Raw genomic sequence first — 18,790 nt, 5'->3', positions numbered from 1 at the left:
CTGTAGGATGTAAATTGTAAGCTTTGCATAGTTGTGTATTTTCCTTCAATGAAAAGAAAGCTTGGACATAAGGTATTTCACTCCATTTGCCTTACCTCTTGCAGAAAAGGTGAAGCTGCAGGATAGTATTGTAATTTGTACTTCCCTCAGGTGGCCATTTTTCCCCATCAGAGGGAGAATATAGTGGCCAGGCCATAGTGCAGGAAAAAATGAGCTGCCTCTTTTTCAGGGTTCATGGGTCAAATTGGTCCCAATGGCTTAGGGTGCATTTCAAGGGTTAGCCTGTTGATGCCTGAGTGGTTTCCCTCTGAAAGACAAAACCGCCCACGGTTTTTGTATGTTTTGTTTCTCCCCCTGCCCAAGAACCTGCAACGGTACCTGGACCCTGCTGATCGGAATAGTTGCACTCACTGATGCAGCAGCAGAAACACTAGTTTTCCTCTCAGACCACAAGGAGGAATGAGGAAGGTCGGATTTAGTGGCCCTTACTGATGCATTCTTGAGAGCCTGCACCCTTGCCAGCCCTCCTAGACCACCAGGAGGACCGAGAAAAATCGGATTTGGTGGCCCTTACCAATGCATTCTCGAAAACCTGTTAGAGTCCTAAGCATTCTCCTGTTAGTACTGGGAACTTCCCCGAGTCCCATAAAGATGTTATGCCCCAAAAATGAAGTGGAGGGCCATACCCTGAGGGAAGGAAGGGCTCTCCAGGGTTGGAAGAGTGATGTCTGTTGTCCTCAGTTATATGAATAGGAAGGATACAATTTCTGAGGCTCCTCATATCCTAGATTCAGAAATAGCTTTTGTTAGGCCTGCTTCTCTGAGGAGGGATCCTAAAATTCCAGATAAGATAGTTCCCCACCCTGTCGGGGCTTTGGCAAAAATTATGTGTTTCTGATTGGTGATCCCAGGTGCCTAAAGAAGGTTACAGAGTCCTGGAGTTTATACTGGAAATCATTCTTATAGGAGAAACTAGAAAAGCACCAGAGACAGGGAGTGATTTTTAGAGGCAGGGCTAGCCTTGGAGAAGACAGGCGAGAGGAAGTTTGTTTGGCAGGTATTAGGACCCAGGGGGCAAGTGTCAGGATGGATAGATGGGCAAGTCTCACTTGGGCGACATGCCTTTGAGAGTTCTGCTTGTGGCCACAGGGTCAACGAACTTGTTGTTGGGACCCTGGAGCTGAATGGCTTTCCTCTCTGTCGACCCTCAGCTCAGCCCAGAAGTACAGGAAAAGCAGAAGCTGGTTCCAAGCAAACCAACGGTCCCAACTCCAAAGAGTCGGGGGTTGTTAGATAGCCCTTTCCCAGAAAGCCTGACACCTGTGTCTTTAATCCAGCAGCCGCGCTAGTCGCTTTTAACTGGCCGACAGGTGCCCGGTATTTAGCCCTCGAATTCTAAGGAAAAATAGGACAGAATAGCAAGCGAAAGGGGTCTGATGGTACTCACTGCTTGGCAATAGGCAACAGTCTCACCACTTGGTAATAGGTGATAGTCTCACCGCTTGGTGATAGGCAATAGTCTCACCACTTGGCGATAGGTGATAGTACCTTCGTGGTCACCAAGATGTGTCTGGAATTGGTGGGTTCTTGGTCTCACTGACTTCAAGAAGGAAGCCATGGATGCTCACGGTGAGTGTTATAGTTCTTAAAGATGGTGTGTCCAGAGTTTGTTTCTTCTGATGCTCAGACATGTTTGGAGTTTCTTCCTTCTGGTGGGTTTGTGGTCTCGCTGGCTTCAGGAGTGAAGCTGCAGACCTTCACAGTGAGTGTTACAGCTCTTAGGGCAGTGTGTCTAGAGTTGTTCATTCCTCCCGGTGGGTTCATGGTCTCGCTGGCCTCAGGAGTGAAGCTGCAGACCTTCGCGGTGAGTGTTACAGCTCATAAAGGCGTGGGGACCCAAAAAGTGAGCAGAAGCAGGATTTATTTCAAAGAGCGAAAGAACAAACCTTCCACAGTGTAGAAGGGGACCCAAGCAGGTTGCAGCTGCTGGCTCAGGCAGCCTGCTTTTATTCCCTTATCTGGCCCCACCCACATCCTGCTGATTGGTCCATTTTACAGACAGCTGATTGGTCCATTTTACAGAGAGCTCATTGATCCTTTTTGATAGGGTGCTGATTAGTGTGTTTACAATCCCTGAGCTAGACTCAGAGTGCTGATTGGTGCATTTACAAACCTTGAGCTAGACTCAGAGTGCTGATTCTTGCATTTACAAACCTTGAGCTAGACACAGAGTGCTGATTGGTGCATTTACAATCCTTTAGCTAGACACAAAAGTTCTCCAAGTCCCCACTAGATTAGCTAGACACAGAGCACTGATAGTTGCGTTTACAAACCTTTAGTTAGACACAGAGTGCTGATTGGTGCACTTACAATCCTCTAGGTAGACATAAAAGTTATCCAAGTCCCCACTAGATTAGCTAGACACAGAGCACTGATTGGTGCATCCATGAACCCGGAGCTAGACACAGAGGGTTGATTGGTGCCTTTACAATCCTTTAGCTAGACACAAAAGTTCTCCAAGTCCCCACTAGATTAGCTAGACACAGAACACTGATTGGTGGGCTTACAAACCTTTAGCTAGACACGGAGTGCTGATTGGTACATTTACAATCCTCTAGCTAGACATAAAAGTTCTCCAAGTCCCCACCAGTTTAGCTAGATGCAGAGTGCTGATTGATGCATCCACAAACCCCAAGGTAGAGATAAAAGTCCTCCAAGTGCCCACCCGACTCACGAGCCCAGCTGGCTTGGCCTAGTGGATCCCCCACTGGGGCTGTGGGCGGAGCTGCCCACCAGTCCCATGCCACCTGCCTGCACTCCTCAGCCCTTGAGCGGTCGATGGGACCAGGTGCCACAGAGCATGGGGCGGTGCCCATCGGGGAGGCTGGGCTGCGCGGGAGCCCATGGGGAGTAGCGGGGCTCGGGCATGGTGGGCTGCAGGTCCCGAGCCCTGCCCCACAGGGAGGCGGCTGAGGTCTGGCGAGAATTCAAGCCAGTGCAGGTTGGGGGGCAGTGCTGGAGGACCCAGCGCACCCTCTGCAGCTGCTGGCCTGAGTGCTAAGCCCCTCACTGCCTGGCACTGGTGATGCTGGCTGGCTGCTTGGAGTATGGGGCCTACCGAACCTGTGCCCACCCAGAACTTGCGCCGGCCTGCGAGCGCCATGCACAGCCCTGGTTCTCGCCAGCGCCTCTCCCTCCACACCTCCCTGCAAGCAGAGGGAGCTGGCTCCAGCCTCCACCAGCCCAGAGAGGAGATCCCACAGTGCAGCGGCGGGCTGAAGGGCTCCTAAAGCGTGGCCAGAGCAGATGCCTTTCGAGGCCGAGGAGGCACTGAGAGCGAGCAGGGGCTGCTAACACATTGTCACCTCTCAGCTTCTATTCTATTTTACATGTGAATAAGCAGGAGGGAGATAAACAAAGAAGTAAAAAACTAGGAAAGAAAATAATTTAAAAAGAAGTCAGTGTTGAGACCTCACCTTGAAATAGACCATTCCAGGGCAAAGGAATTGCAAGGGGAACTAAGATTTCTGTGGTCAAAAGACAGAAAGAAGAAAATCCATTGTGATTGGGTCTGAGTAAGTTAGATTGGTAACGTGAATGGGTGATAGGGTATGCAGGAGCCAAATTATGTGTGATTTTGGAGATCATGATAAGCCACTTAGGTCTCCTTGAAAGTAATATTGGAAAGGTTTGTATGCTTTTAGGTGGGGGTAGGGAGATATTGATTTTTGCTGTATAAAAACTCATGTGGGCTGACCTATAAAAAATAAACAGAAGATGCATGAGTAATGAGGCCTTTACACTAGTCCAGGGGAGACATGGCAATGGCTTTGACCATGGTGATAAAAGATTTTGTTACAAGTCTGTTATGTTTTCTCTAAAATCTTTTTAAATTTAGCAATCTCAGGCTGGGGCAGTGGGACCTAAAAAATGACTGAATGTTGCTTAATGACAAGAAAATAGAGATGGTTCTGAATACACCCTCAGAGGGAAACAAGACACAGAATATCAAACACCCCATAGTAAGCCACAAAGCCTTCCAGAAAATTTTGAGCTCAATCTTACGTTTATTGAATGCTATGCTGCCATACCTTCAAGTTCTTGTAATTACTATAAAACTACCATCTATCTGTTTTTCATGCCATTCCCTCTTCCTTAAATTTCACCTCGGCACAGTTCATTTGTATTTTGATCCTACTATTGATATTTTCACAATCTATTATTATCCTAGTCTCATTTTAGCACAGCAGAAAGAGCATTGACTTAAAAGCAGATGGATCCCAGTTTTGATCCATCTTACTGATTGCAGTGACCTTGAGAATTTCTTAACTTTCACAGATTTTCATTTCCTATTCTTTAAAAGTAGAAATATACCTATGGTATGCTCTAAGTGTTTTATACATTTAAATTTAATCCATGTAGACATTTTATAAAGTAGGTATTATTATTATTTCCATTTAATGGTTAAGAAAAACTGAGGTATGCAGACATGATAAATAACTCAGTCAAGGTTACCAACTAGTAAGCTGAAGAGCCTGAATTTGAACACCATCTTCCTGATTAAAGAACCCACATTATATCCATAATAAACTAACATATCATAGACGCTTAATAAAGATTAGTTACATCTTTCATATTTTTCTGCACCCCTTCTCCCATTTCAAATTATAGTAATTGTATCTTAAGTAATTGTACTATCAGAATTATTCAGTCTTTCAGTATCTTGGCCGAAACTGGTATCTTTCCTTCTCAATTTGTCATTTCCACCTAAATTCGTGAATAGAACTCACACTTATTATTAAGAAATAAATTTATTTCATTTCCCTCCATACCTCTTTCACAGTCATATAACCTGAACTGGTAATGCTAGTAGAATTCCAAATCTCTTGGATGATGTTTTCAAAAGAAAATAATATGTATAGTGTACTTACCAGTTTCAGATAAAATGATAGAATTTTCTGCATTTGAAAGAGCAACATGTATAGTTATGATTTTGTAAACACTCAGTTCCAAGTTATAGTAAATAATTTTTGATGGAAAGAAAAAACAAGAGAAAATATTACAAAAAAATATGATTAACCACACATCTGAATGGGAATTCACTTTCTGTGAAGTTAATGGTAGATTCTTATTCACAAATACTAAGGAATAGTTGGAAAGGACATCAGAAACAAGTAGAGGATGTCATATTGGTACTAAAAAGTGTTGGGATAGCTCTGAGGATTTGCATTCAGTTTCAGAGTAGTAATGATGATTATATAGACCTTCTCATATATGTAAATGATACAGACAGGAGACAGGGAAATATTGGGTAGAAGAGGTCCCCAGCAAAGGCCTCACCCTCAAGCCTGGAGACCCATGGCCCTAAGTGGGAACAGACATTTCTGTTTCACTCTCAAAAGGTTGCCTTTTGGCCTGCCACTCCCCTATCCTGCACCCACATAAATCCCAAATCCCAGGCTCTAGAAGCAGACGAGCAGACGTGCAGACAAGGAGACAAGCAGAAGAATGACAGAACAGCATGGCAAAGAAAGAGAGAGGGGAAGGAACATCTGAACTCTGAGAGGAGTCCGGCTGGGGATGGACAGAGGAGAGTTCAGCCACTGGATGGCCAAACTCCAGAGGAAGATCATCTTCCCACTCCATTCCCCTCCCAGCTCCCTATCCATCTTGCTGAGAGCCACCTCTACCACTTAATAAAACCGTGAATTTATCCTTCAAGCCCATGTGTGACTCAATTCTTTCAGGCTCTGAACAAGAGCTTGGGATACAGAAAGCTGTCACACTGGCTCCCTGCCCTTGAAAAGCCACAGGGTTCATTGAGCTGGCTAACATGTAAGCCGTCTGTAAATGACAAGGCTAAAAGAGCATTGTAACACTGGAGCTGCAGGCACCCACCCCTAGACACTACTGCGGGGCTGAAACCCAGAGCATTCGCCCTGGCTTTTTCATCTACCTGTCTGCGCGCTCCCCTTCCTGTCAGGGGTTTGAGCAGTGGCAGCTGCTGAACAGGCAAGCCACAACCCTGTGTCACATCCTGCCAAGGGGATCAGGGAACTCTCCCGTATCATAAACATATAACATGAATGTATGTAAACAAATATCTTAGTGTATCTCCTGGGTTTAAGAAATGCACCATGATTTGGTTACACTATTTTTTAATATTTTAAGAATATTATTGTTATTTTACACTAGCCTTGAGAAGTAATAATAGTGGTGGTGGAAACTTTAGCATCCTTAGTAATAATAGTAGTAACCTATTTTAAAGAAGCAGAAATTGAGAAGAACATAATTAAATTACTTCAGAATATACAGCTAAGAATAGCCAGATACATAAAGGATATATCTAGATGTATATGGATAATGAATTCACTGTCTTACACTCCGTATCTCTGGATTTGAACTGCAACATCAAATAAATTCAATTTTCATTAAAGCGTGTAAAGATTTCAGAGGGACATTTATATCTCTGAAAAATGCTTTCCTGGTTTGGGTTATATATAATATTTAGAGTCTATTTTGGACACTGAACAGTTGTAAATAAACGGTTGTGCTTTATATACTTAAGTGAGTTAAAGTTATTAAGAATAATAAATGTAAAGAGGAAATGTATCTAAATAAATCCTCTAAATGTTTAATCCCCATTTATCTTTAATTAATTTCTGGATATTAAATGCTATTCCTGAGACTGCCACAGGTGGATTGCATGAGCCCGGGAGTCCAAGACCTGTCTGGGCAACATGGCGAAACTTCAGCGCTTCAAAAAATACAAAAATTAGCCAGGCATGGTGGTGTACACCTGTAGTCCCAGCTACCAGAGAGGCTGAGATGGAAGGATTGCTTGAGCCTTGGAAAGTCTAGGCTGCAGTGAGCGAAGATCCTGCCTCGCACTGCAGCCTGGGTGACAAAGTAAAACCCTGTCTCAAAAAAAGAAAAAAATATTCCAATTTTTTTGAGTAAGGAAACTGGGAGATCTATGAAGTCCATGAAAGAACTGTCAGCCAATTAACAAAATCACATTCGTTACTCTCCTTTTATCTGATCCATGGTTAACATAACACACATCCCTATACAATGTAAATTTGTGTTTTTGTCTCCAAATATAAGTGTGTATGTGTGTGTATATATATATATATATATACTCATAATGAGTATATGAGTAATGAGTATATGTTTTATATATATATGAATTCCTGATAAATTTAAGTTTACCAAAAATTTATGATTTAAACACCAAAAATTAGACTAACAACAAAAATGGAACTAAGAACAATAGTTATTGAACAAGCACAATGCCAAATGATGTACTAATTGTCTTTACCTGTATGACCCTATATATTTCTAACAAATCTCCTCAAAGTATCATTGAAACAAGTTGCCAGAATCATAAATTAAAAATGAGAAGGATTAAATAACTTGTCTGAAGTCATGCAACTAGTAGTTGTCAGAATTTATATTTGGTTATACCTAGTATCTTTTTTGACACAGTTTATCCTTAGCAGTGGCTGAAAGAAAAAAAGATATTCATTAGCACTAACTATGAAGGAAATATTTCTCAGAACTAACTTCTACCAGAGTATCTCATATTAATTATCAAATATTAACAGTAAGGTGATGACTTTGGGGCTCCACAAGCCTGATCTTAATAATCCTCTGGCATCTTGAAGAGGTGTAAGATCCATATGCCATTACCGTTGAACTTTGATCCATTTCACAGTTTTGTGATACTTTTTACTGTTTCTTCATTTCTGTTATGCTGTGGTAGTATATTACAAGCTCTTTCTACATTATCATTTTAAGCATTTAAAAACTCTTGAAATAAATACTTGGGTACCACAATGGGAAATAAGGATTGCCTGACAGTAGGATCTTGGAATAATCATTAACTGATATTATAACTGGTATCATAAATTATAAAACTGATATTATAAATGTATAAATTAACTGATATTATAAATATAAAAACACTATTCAGTGTTTCCAAAATCTATTTTATAGTAGAGTTTAAGAAAAATAACAAAGGATAATTTTACCACTTATAACAATCTCAATCCTTGTAATATTAATGGAAGTCACATATTCCTTTCAGGTAGCAAAGCTAAGTGGGCAAAACAATCAAACTTTCATAACTAAAGTTTTAGAAAGTTTATGAAAATTATGAAAGTGTTTCAGGGAAAAAAGTTCATCTAGGTTTTTCCCCCCGGGGAACTTATTATATTTCCCCCTGGGAACTTAGTAACTTATTATAGCAATAAGTTACTAAAAGTATGTGGTCTAAATGAAAAAGTCTTCAATGACACGTATTACATATTTCTGAAATAGAAATAAAGGAGGGAAAATTCTGTACCTAAAAATCTGATTTTTAAATCTTAAACAATTTTATGCATTTTAAGAATAACTTCTAATAATGCAGTTTTCATTATAAAGTTAGCCTTTAACTGTACATCATGATCCATATTACAGTGACTAAGGATTTAGTGAAATTGACATTAAAGCAAAATTTTAAGTGATTTTCCAATTGTTCCCATTTGCAATTGGTTTGGACATCTATATAAAATTTTTTGGTAATTAAAAAGCTGAATAGCTAATGTCTTGTTATGTCATTAACATGTTAACATCAGTTGACTTAAGTACTACAACAATATAGTCAAGGTGTTGATTTTCATCCCAGGGTGGCCTTTCATAACAGACTCTCCTCTTGACCTCCATCAGTCATCTTATCAGGATTCCTTTCTGATTCCAAGGATATGACAAACACAAGGGAAGAAAGCAGGAATCTTTACAAACCAATCTATTATCAAAATAAGGGAACAATTCTGGCCTACTCCTTGGTTTTAGAAGTATAAGTTTTGTACACCAAATTGCACTAATAATGTTCTTGATCTCTGAAATTTGAGAGGACAGATTTTCAGATAACTTGAAATAATACAGAAACATGCTATTTTGGCCCTAGCAAATCAGCAGGAAATACCACAACTTTAAGGATCTGTAGTAAATATGAATCTGCTATGAAATTTCAGTGTCTATAATGTCTGATGCGGGAGATGTGATATTGAAATGAGCATTTCTGATTACACAGCTAGTAGGGTGTATAGTATCAACCTAATGTAAAAATAATCTAACTGTGATGGAACAGGATCCCAGCCAGAAGCAGAGCTATGAGATCCTAGGATCCTAGCCTTGGGAAAAGTAAAAGCCAAAAGTAAAAGTAAAAGCCAGAGCCCAAAAGAACAACATCTACAGTTAGTCACTGTCAAAGACAGAAATGGTCAGGGTCATGATCTCTGCCTTGAATGGCGTCAGTCCTTCTGCCACTATCCCAGGATTTGGCAGTCCAGCCAAATGCATACCCTCTGGTGAGAGTATCAACCCCAAATCCCTATTTACTCTTCATCCTTGGTAATGTGAACAAGCAGAGGCAAGCCATATGCCATTGCTAAGCTGAGCCCACCTTGTTAAGCAGAGCTCCACATGGACTGTGGAGGTCTTGTCTCCAAGCAAGAGACATCTCTAAGCCCCAGAGAAAGAAATCAAAGAGTATTTCCTCCCTGTGAAATGGGGCCATTAATAGGACCCAACCCTACTGGGGTGGTTTATTTTGTGTTCTTGAAAACTTTGTTGCCTTTTACCCATAGAGAATTTGTTCTCTTTAGGAGGGCCTTGAGGTGTACATGATGAGGAGAGAGAAACCTGTCAGCTTTCCTCAAGGCAAAGTTTTTTAATCTGAAGGTAAACTTCAGTCAGACCACATTGCACTGAAATTATGTATCAAATATTGTAGTTCTATAAATATGTGCTTTCACTTCTAGGAAGAAAGCTAAAATCAAATTTAAAGAGTCAGTGAATCTGAAAAGTTTTTTTTTGAAACTTCTGGATTAGAAATCATCTGCTGTATATGATAAAAAAATTTTGAATGCTGAATGGAGTATATAGAGAAGCAATATTTGAAATATCTCTGAGTTTCTTGTTTTATTTATTTCCATTAAAGTGTTACATATCCTACAATATTTTTTAAAAAGAGATACGCATATTGCAAAACTATGTAAGCCTCAACTAATAATTTTTCATTTCTACATACACACACGCTTTTTGTCTTTATTTATTATGTTGTCTAATTCTGCTATTGTTCTCAGTTAAATCCTTTGTCAGCTCTTAGTTGTATGGTAATTGAGTGACTCTAAAAGTCATGGTACTATTCTGGTCTAGCCGGCTAGGGAAGTAGGTCTCAAACAATCTCCTGCTCAGTTGCTGAGAATCTTATCTAATCTTTCTGGAGACACATGATTGACAGCACATGATAAAAGACCTGTATTGCGCATTCCTTTATCTGTAAAGATAGAAACAAAACATCTTTTTCTAGTCCTTCTAAAAACTTCATTTCAGGACTCTACAGTTTTGAACCTAAATTTAAAACTTCAAATGCTGAACAATGTTACATACAACTTTTTTCAGAAGAAATAAATATCATATGAATAATGCCCCAGTGCCCAGTTTAAGGGTCATACATATATATAATATATAAGCTATATGTATATATTTTTTATATATTTACAAATTATATATAAACATGTTTATACTTATAAATTATTCATACATTTATGAATATATATATAATTAATCGAAATTTTTAAATTTCGGTTTAGCACAATGATGATGCTTCAATACAATGAGAAAGAAGAATCTTTCAGATTTTTCTTAGTCCTGTGAGAAATCAGTGTCATCCATAGGACTTAAAAGGTCACGGCATGTCTTCTGTGTTCCAGTGGAGATACTATGGAGACGCCAGAAGGGTCTGTACCTGAGGATAAGATCTTGGACTCAGACTTTAAAACTAGATGAGGCATCAACTAGGAGACCCTGAAAGCAACCCAATAAAAGCGTTTATTGTGACTCATTACTGAGGAGAAGAACCAGAAAAAACAAAAAAACAAACAAACAAAAACGCAAGGGGAATATCAGAGTAAGAATTCTTGGGAATAAAAAATAAAAAATAAAAAAACACCAAGAAACAGAACATGAGCTAAATTAAGCTGTGGATCTCAGGCAATGAGCTGTAATTGACACCAGTCTGTCTGAGGCTTATCCTGTGCTGAGTCCTGAGTGGTATTGGACTCACAGGAATACACGAACTGGCTCCAGTAGATTATTAAAAGTGCATGCTACTTCACAAATTCAGTTAGTCCAAAATTCTCTAAATAAATTTTCTTTAACGTGAAGAAATTCTGTTAATACATTTAGGAAGTTATATATTCCAGTTGGTCTTAATTTTAAAAAATACAATAGCATGTCTAGGCCGGGTGCGGTGGCTCACGCCTGTAATCCCAGCACTTTGGGAGGCCAAGGCAGGCGGATCACGAGGTCAGGAGATCGAGACCATCCTGGCTAACACGGTGAAACCCCGTCTCTACTAAAAATACAAAAAAATTAGCCGGGCGCAGTAGCGGGCGCCTGTAGTCCCAGCTACTCCGGAGGCTGAGGCAGGAGAATGGTGTGAACTCGGGAGGCGGAGCTTGCAGTGAGCCAAGATAGCGCCACTGCAGTCCCACCTGGGCGAAAGAGCGAGACTCTGTCTCAAAAAAAAAGAAAAAAAAAAAAAAAAAATGCAATAGCCTGTCTAACAGCAAGCATTCAAGAATGAAGAAGTTTGTATTTGATGACTGTTTTCAATATGCAGAAAGTCCCTCTAACATTCAATATAAATTTACTTATTAGAAACAGTTACTTAACAAAAACTTGGCAGACATGAATTAATGAATGTTCTGTTGTTCATCAGTTCAAGTTCTAATTCTTGAGCCAAGCCTGTGTTAAACATTTGAAGAAATACTACAGTGTTTGTTAACTTATTTCAGATTCATGAGGAAATATATATATTGAATACTTGAGAGGTAAACTGTGTTATAGATCATATCTTAAATACACCAAGCCTGAGTGATTTTAATTTGTTCACTTAGTAAGGTTTTTGGAAGTTGAAATATATTTTAAACAAGCTGGTGATTGAGAATATACATTTTATTAGTGTGATTGAATAGGACACTTTCATCTATTACAGTTTAGGCCAGTCCTGGTTTCATGACACATATGTAAAAAAAAAAATGATTAAATATACATGTCATGCACCCTAAACAATTTTTTCTGTATCTCATTGAAATTTTGTCACAATTATCATTATTTAAACACCATGTGGTAGTGATAGTCTATAAAATGTCTTCAAAGAAAAATTAAAAATGGGCTTCACAGCATGTATCCATCCATGTGGAACTTCCTATCTCTTTGATTCAAGGAAGAAGTACACAAATTAACAGAAAGGACTAAAAGTTCCATAATTCAAATAATTTGTTACATCATGTGAAAAAAAAGTAAAAAGTTGTTTATGTGGTCACAAATCATTTGCATATATTTTATATGGTCTGTCAATATGTTGGTAATATGTCTTAATAAAGGAAGGAAACAGAGGTAAATATTAAGTGTGTCAAACATTGCTTCTCTGCAAGAACTTATGAACGGTATATTTCTTTAAACTTAATTCTAAAATAGCAGTTATCTACATCTAATACACATTCTGAAAGCTATTTCAAAATTTCTCAGAGTAATCTAGATTCCAGTGCCTTGCAATTCCTTTCACCGGACATATTGACTTTTGAATAGTAAAACTGATTTCATCAGTTAATTTTTTTAGTACTAATCATTCAAATAGCACTTAATATTAGAAAATAATAATTTATTCCTCAGTTGTAGCAAGTTAGATTGTTTTTACTTGGGATCCGTTTTTTAAATATTTAGAGAAATATTTTAAGTAATAATTTTTTTAATGCAGAAATTTATGAAAACAGTAAGTCATCAAAATTTAAAATGAATTACTGATTTCTGATAATATGACTTGTACTCCAGAATGAAATATACAATGTACAATAGCTTAGTAAAACAACATTTTGACTTACGTGTTAATTTAAGTGTAGGAACCTCTAATTTACTTTTGCACAAAATTAGATTACTGATAGATTACAATTTTTATGGCAAAAAAATAACTTTATAATGATATCCAATCTCATAAAATCAGACCTAAAATAAAGGAAAAACATTATCTATAGCTAACACATATCCCCGAATGCATATGATGTTCAGTTTTGGTAGCAATGCAGTGGGGTTTACCAACCTGTCTATGTATGAACTCCATTTTCTCCCTTTACCTACTCTTAAACAATAGTAAAACCTTTTTTTTCTACAAAGAGTATGCCCACTTTTGCTCAGATCCCATCCCTTATTTCATTATCAAAATCTTTTAAAATTTTGTCTCTCTAAATTATCTTTAAGCTGTTTCTGGATTATTTTTATCAGTTTGAAACTATAACCTACTACCATCCTACACCACCGCATGACTCTGGCCTAAAATCAGCACCTAAGAATAAAACAAAAACAAACCAAATCCTTCTCTTGATCCAACTTTATGACCACCACCACCCCCATTCAACTCATCATTGTCTGGCTTCTTCCTCTACTACCGTCAATATGAAAGACTTGGCAAATTAAATGGACATTTGCCTATCTTCATCTCACCCAGTGTTTTAGAAATTATGATAAAGTGGTTAACTAATATCTTAAAAAAAATGTATGTGGGTTGGGTCTGGAGAGGACAGGCAATATCTCTTATACTACTGTTCTTTGTTTTTCTTTTATTCTCTGGATTTCTGCTGGCCTCTTTTGCTAACCTCTCCATCTGTATAAAGCTTCCAGATATCTGGACCACTCTGGGTACTCAAAGTTCTCTTCTTCTGTCTCTGAACATTCTTACTAATGATAATGTCATACATTCCCATGGATTTAAGGACTTCTTCTTTGCCTTTATCTCCCTAATTTATTTATCCATCCCAGAATCCTCTCCTTGAGTCTTTCTTTGCATGCAAAGCAATCAATCATACTTTTGTTGATCTTATATACAAAATATGTCTTCCCTCCATCCTCAGTTACTCACCTGACATTCATAATTTTAGTCCACATCCCTATCATTGTTTGCCTAAGCTCTACCAGTAGCCTCCACATTTTCCCCATCTCTATCTTACATCCTGATCAATTTTTCGCCTTCCTATAAAAGGGACCTTAAGATATAAATTTCATCATATTTATCTGCAGATTAAGTCTTTCAATAACTTCCCACTACAGTTAAAATCAAAACCAAATGCATTTACTCTGGTCTGAAAATAACCACATAATCTGGCTTCTTGCTCCCTTTCAAATCTTATGTGTGACTGCACTCAGCTCTCATTCACTGTACTTTAGGCTGTGAGTTCGTGAATGGTCTTTGAGTTTGTGAAATAAGCCAAGTTACTTTCAACCCTAAGACCTTTGCACATGGTGTGCACCATGTCTGGGATGTTCTTCACCTTCAAATAGCTAGTATCTTCTAATTTATTTTTGTTACAGTTTAAATTTTATTTCTTTAAAAAGCTGTGGGCCCACTCTCTTTAAAATATAAATCTTTTCTCCCAGCAAATATTCTCTTTTTAGGTTCTCGTTTTTAAGTTACATTAATTATCTGGCATCTGTTTTGCATTTTCATCCCACATTAGGCTATGAGCTTCATTTTGCTTGAGACCACGTCTATCCTATTGGCTATAAAAACCTCAGTTAACATGATAGAGCAGGCACACAATAACTATTTGTTGAAGAAACTAATTAATTATATTTGACACCCACAGCCCCAATTAATTGACAGCTGCAACTATCTTATTTTAATGTTTTAATTACTTAAATAGCCAGAATACCTTGGCCACTGCAGAGTTGTTTGGGGCAGATAGATATGCCCTTGGTAGTTTGGCTGAAAATGGGGAAGGCTGTCTTCCTCTCACATACAGCTTTATGTATGAAGTGATCTAGCATTGAGTTAACTCTAGCATATGAATAGAGAACTAATGAGGTGCAACAACTGAGCTCATCCCATATTCTTACCCTTGCTAGTCAAGATCAAATTTCACTCTATATTAACTATTAAAAACATTAAGAAGATGAGAATGATATTGGAGAACATGAATTAAACTTTGCAACTCTGTGAAGAAAAACTTCACGAGCATTACTTGCTCTTTTTGAAAAGGCAAAAGAAGAGGAGGGGGAGAAGAGGAAAAAATGGGAAGAGAAAGCAGAAGGTAGTGGAAGAAAAGGAAAAGAAGTTTATTTAACCTAGGTAATTCATACTTTACTATTTTTAGATCATATTTTGCCTTCCCAATTCTAAGTAATCTATTGTCTTATGAATTAAGGTAGATGAAATGTAAAAATTTGAATCAGTTGAAGAACATTTGTGGATCCTTTTAAGATGCTCATGCTTTCCAAGGGAAGAATTTAAGACTCACCATTTAGGACCTAGAATAGACAGATGAAGGTATAGATAACCGTAATGCACTATAAATTAAGCGACCTTTTCTTAATCATGTCATTTCTTATTGGCATATTGGAATATTTAGTTTATGATAGATACTTTAAAGACTGCAATCACTAAAGATTTATGGATAAAAATCAATCAATAAATAAATATTTCATCAAATGCAAAGTGCCTTACTACAAAATATTTATATATATATATATATGAATTTATTAACCTACATTTTAAAGCAAGTAACATTGTAGGAAAAGCAAGAGGCTTTACAATCATGCTGTAAGACTAGATTTTATCACCTATAAAATAGAGGTATAATTTTCCTCATAAAATTGATGTGAAGGTAAATGAGATATGCAAAACTCAGTCTATAGTATTTGGTGCATAGTAGGTTCTAATAAATATTATTTTTATTACACCTGAATGTATCATAAAATTTTACTTATTAGTACTAATTGTGGGGAAGACAAATGCAATCATGGAAATTTACAATTATGATTTCACAAAGTATGTCAGCTTCCTATGGTTGGAAAGGAAACATTAAATATATGGTTCAAATAATTCAGAACAATTAATATTCACCTAATTGGCCATGGATTTTTTTTCAACCAGGCAGGGAAAAGCAGTAGTAAAGATTGAAAATGTCTTTCCAAATCTAGGAAGAACTCTAATCCCATGAAAATTGTTTATTAATAAAAAGACGTTCCAGATTACTAGAATAAAAGAGAAAAGGAGGGTGAAGGTCAGATTTCAACCTTGGAAAGATGGCACAAAGAGAGAGAAAACAATTAAAAGTAAAAAGACTTTAACGAAATGTGTATGTTTTTGTTTTTAACTAAGAAACAACATTGTTGGTACAATAAATAATGAAAGAAAGTTTCCAAGGCCCTGCTTCAAGATGTTTTGAATAAGTTTTTATGTACAACAAATTTATGAGTAAAAACTCTTGAAGCTTTCAGTAACCTAAAACCTGATGGAAACTAGATTAAAATTTAAATAAATTTATACATTCATAAAGCTAAAACTTGATAGTTTGTTGGTAGAAGGGGAAGCTTAACCCACTGACATCATAAAAGGCACTTTGTCTTTTCATTTTTCTGTCTATTCTCTAAGTCTTCCACAGAGTCCATCAGTCTCAAGGATTGTTCCCTCCAAGGGTGTTAAGCAACTGCAAGCAGCTTCCAGGGTACTTAGCTCCTTGTCCATAACCAACAAGAAGAGGCCCTTTCCTGGTAGCGCTTTCAGAAACTGATTAAAACTTCCAGACTCTCCCAACACAAGCCTCTTTGCATCAATTTGGTTTATACTGTCTTGTGCCCTGAACTCTGGACTGAAGGATGGGAAGTACTGATGGGATAGTGATAAGAAGAAAATATTGAGAAGGGTAAGTGGATATGCAAACAAAAGCTGGAGTATTGATAGAAGAAGAAAAGATAGACACTAGGTAGCCAAAATAACTTCAGTGTATTCATACCTTCTGTATTAAAAATTGTAAAAATATGGCTGGGCACAGTGGCTCATGCTTGTAATCCCAGCACTTTGGGAGGCTGAAGTGGGTGGATCACTTGAGGTCAGGAGTTTGAGACCAGCCTGGCCAACACGATGAAACCTCATTTGTACTAAAAATCCAAAAACTAGCCAGGCTTGGTTGTGCACCCCTGCAATCCCAGCTACTTGGGAGGCTGAGGCAGGAGAATCACTTGAACCCAGGAGGTAGAGGTTGCAGTGAGCCATGAACATGCCACTGCACTCCAGTCTGGGCCACAGAGTGACTGTGTCAAAAACAGAAACAAAAATATATATAAAAACAGATGATAAATGAGTAAATGATTAAAAAAAACCTCACTCTTTAAAAGCAAAGTGGATCCAAAAAAGTCATTGAGATGATAAGCATGGTAATTAGACTAAGAAGTATGTCAAATAAAATTAACAAACATTGGGGGTGAGGGATTAACCCAGTCAAACACACACATAGACACACACACACAGATATATATTTATGCCATGTGTTGTGTATATATGACATATGTATACATATATTAGGTTGATGCAAAAGTAATTGTGGTTTTTGTCATTACTTTTAATGACAATCTAATAAATGTATATTTGTATATCTACATATGTATTTTAATGTAATATAAATCTCCTCGAATAAAAGCAGAAAAAATAGTTTACTAGTTTCAGATTTCCTTTTCTTATCAGAAAAGTTCTGAAATAACAAATGTTCTTATAGTGCCAGTTATTCATCAAAACAGAAATAAAAACATGTATAAAATATTAATGTTTCTTATTTATGTACATACTTTGTTATATATGTAAATTTTCATAAACTATATCAACTCAGCCAATAAGCATTTACTATATTCTTAGTGCAGTTTAGCCTATAAAATGAAAATATTTAAATTACCTGGAAAGAAAAAACATAAAAATGATTGTGTTTTTTAGCCATATAGGAAATGAAAATTTTCATATTTTATTAATTATCTTATTTTGTGTTACAAATTTTATTAGAACTTTATATGAAAAGTTGTCATTATATAACTTGTATTTGGCTAGCAAAAGTATATCAACTTACTTTTTCTTAGGATTATACTTTATATTAGCAAACAAAATTAACTACAATATTTTAAGAAGCAAATAAATATTTTTAAGGTTTGTTTCTAGAGTTGTAGTTTTGACTCACGCAAATTGTTGAGGTTTTAAGCAATTGTGGTTTTCATCATTTTAGTTTCCATTCTGCTAAAAGTGTTGAAGCAATTGATATGATGTGCCATGAAAACTCTGTCCTCTCCCAACATGACTGAGCTCCTTTCAGCATCATTTCATATTTATTAGCCATGTGTATCTGAATTAAAAATACTTTGGATTTGGATAGCAAACACTAGAGAGGACTAAATAAATGACTGGCCATGTTAGGTGATGATGTAATGTAGTGTTTACATTTGCAACTGCTTGTCCACAGCTTCTCTCAGTTCTGGATTATACTGGACTTCAGTAAAGTACAGAAAATTAAAGTTGAGGCCGGGTGCAGTGGCTCACACTTGTAATCCCAGCACTTTGGGAGGCTGAGGCAGGTGGATCAGTAGGTCAAGAAATTGAGACCATCCTGGCCAAAACGGTGAAACCCCGTCTCTACTAAAAATACAAAAATTAGCTGGGCATGGTAGCACGCACTTGTAGTCCCATTTACTTGGGAGACAGAGGCAGGCGAATCACTTTAACCTGGGAGATGGAGGTTGCAGTGAGCTGCGATGGCACCAGTGCACTCCAGGCTGGTGACAGAGTGAGAGTCTGTCTCAAAAAAAAAAAAAAAAAAAAAAATTAAAATTGATTAAGGACAAAAGGAATTCTTTGAAAGTAAGTCAAAATAAGATATTTTCTTGGAAATTAGTAAATATGTGCATATATATATTTTTCATCTTT

Source organism: Homo sapiens, chromosome 4 (genome assembly GCF_000001405.40).
Source record: "Homo sapiens chromosome 4, GRCh38.p14 Primary Assembly".
Taxonomy (NCBI): domain Eukaryota; kingdom Metazoa; phylum Chordata; class Mammalia; order Primates; family Hominidae; genus Homo; species Homo sapiens.
The sequence above is the reverse complement of the archived record's forward strand: the minus strand, read 5'-3'. Positions refer to the sequence as shown.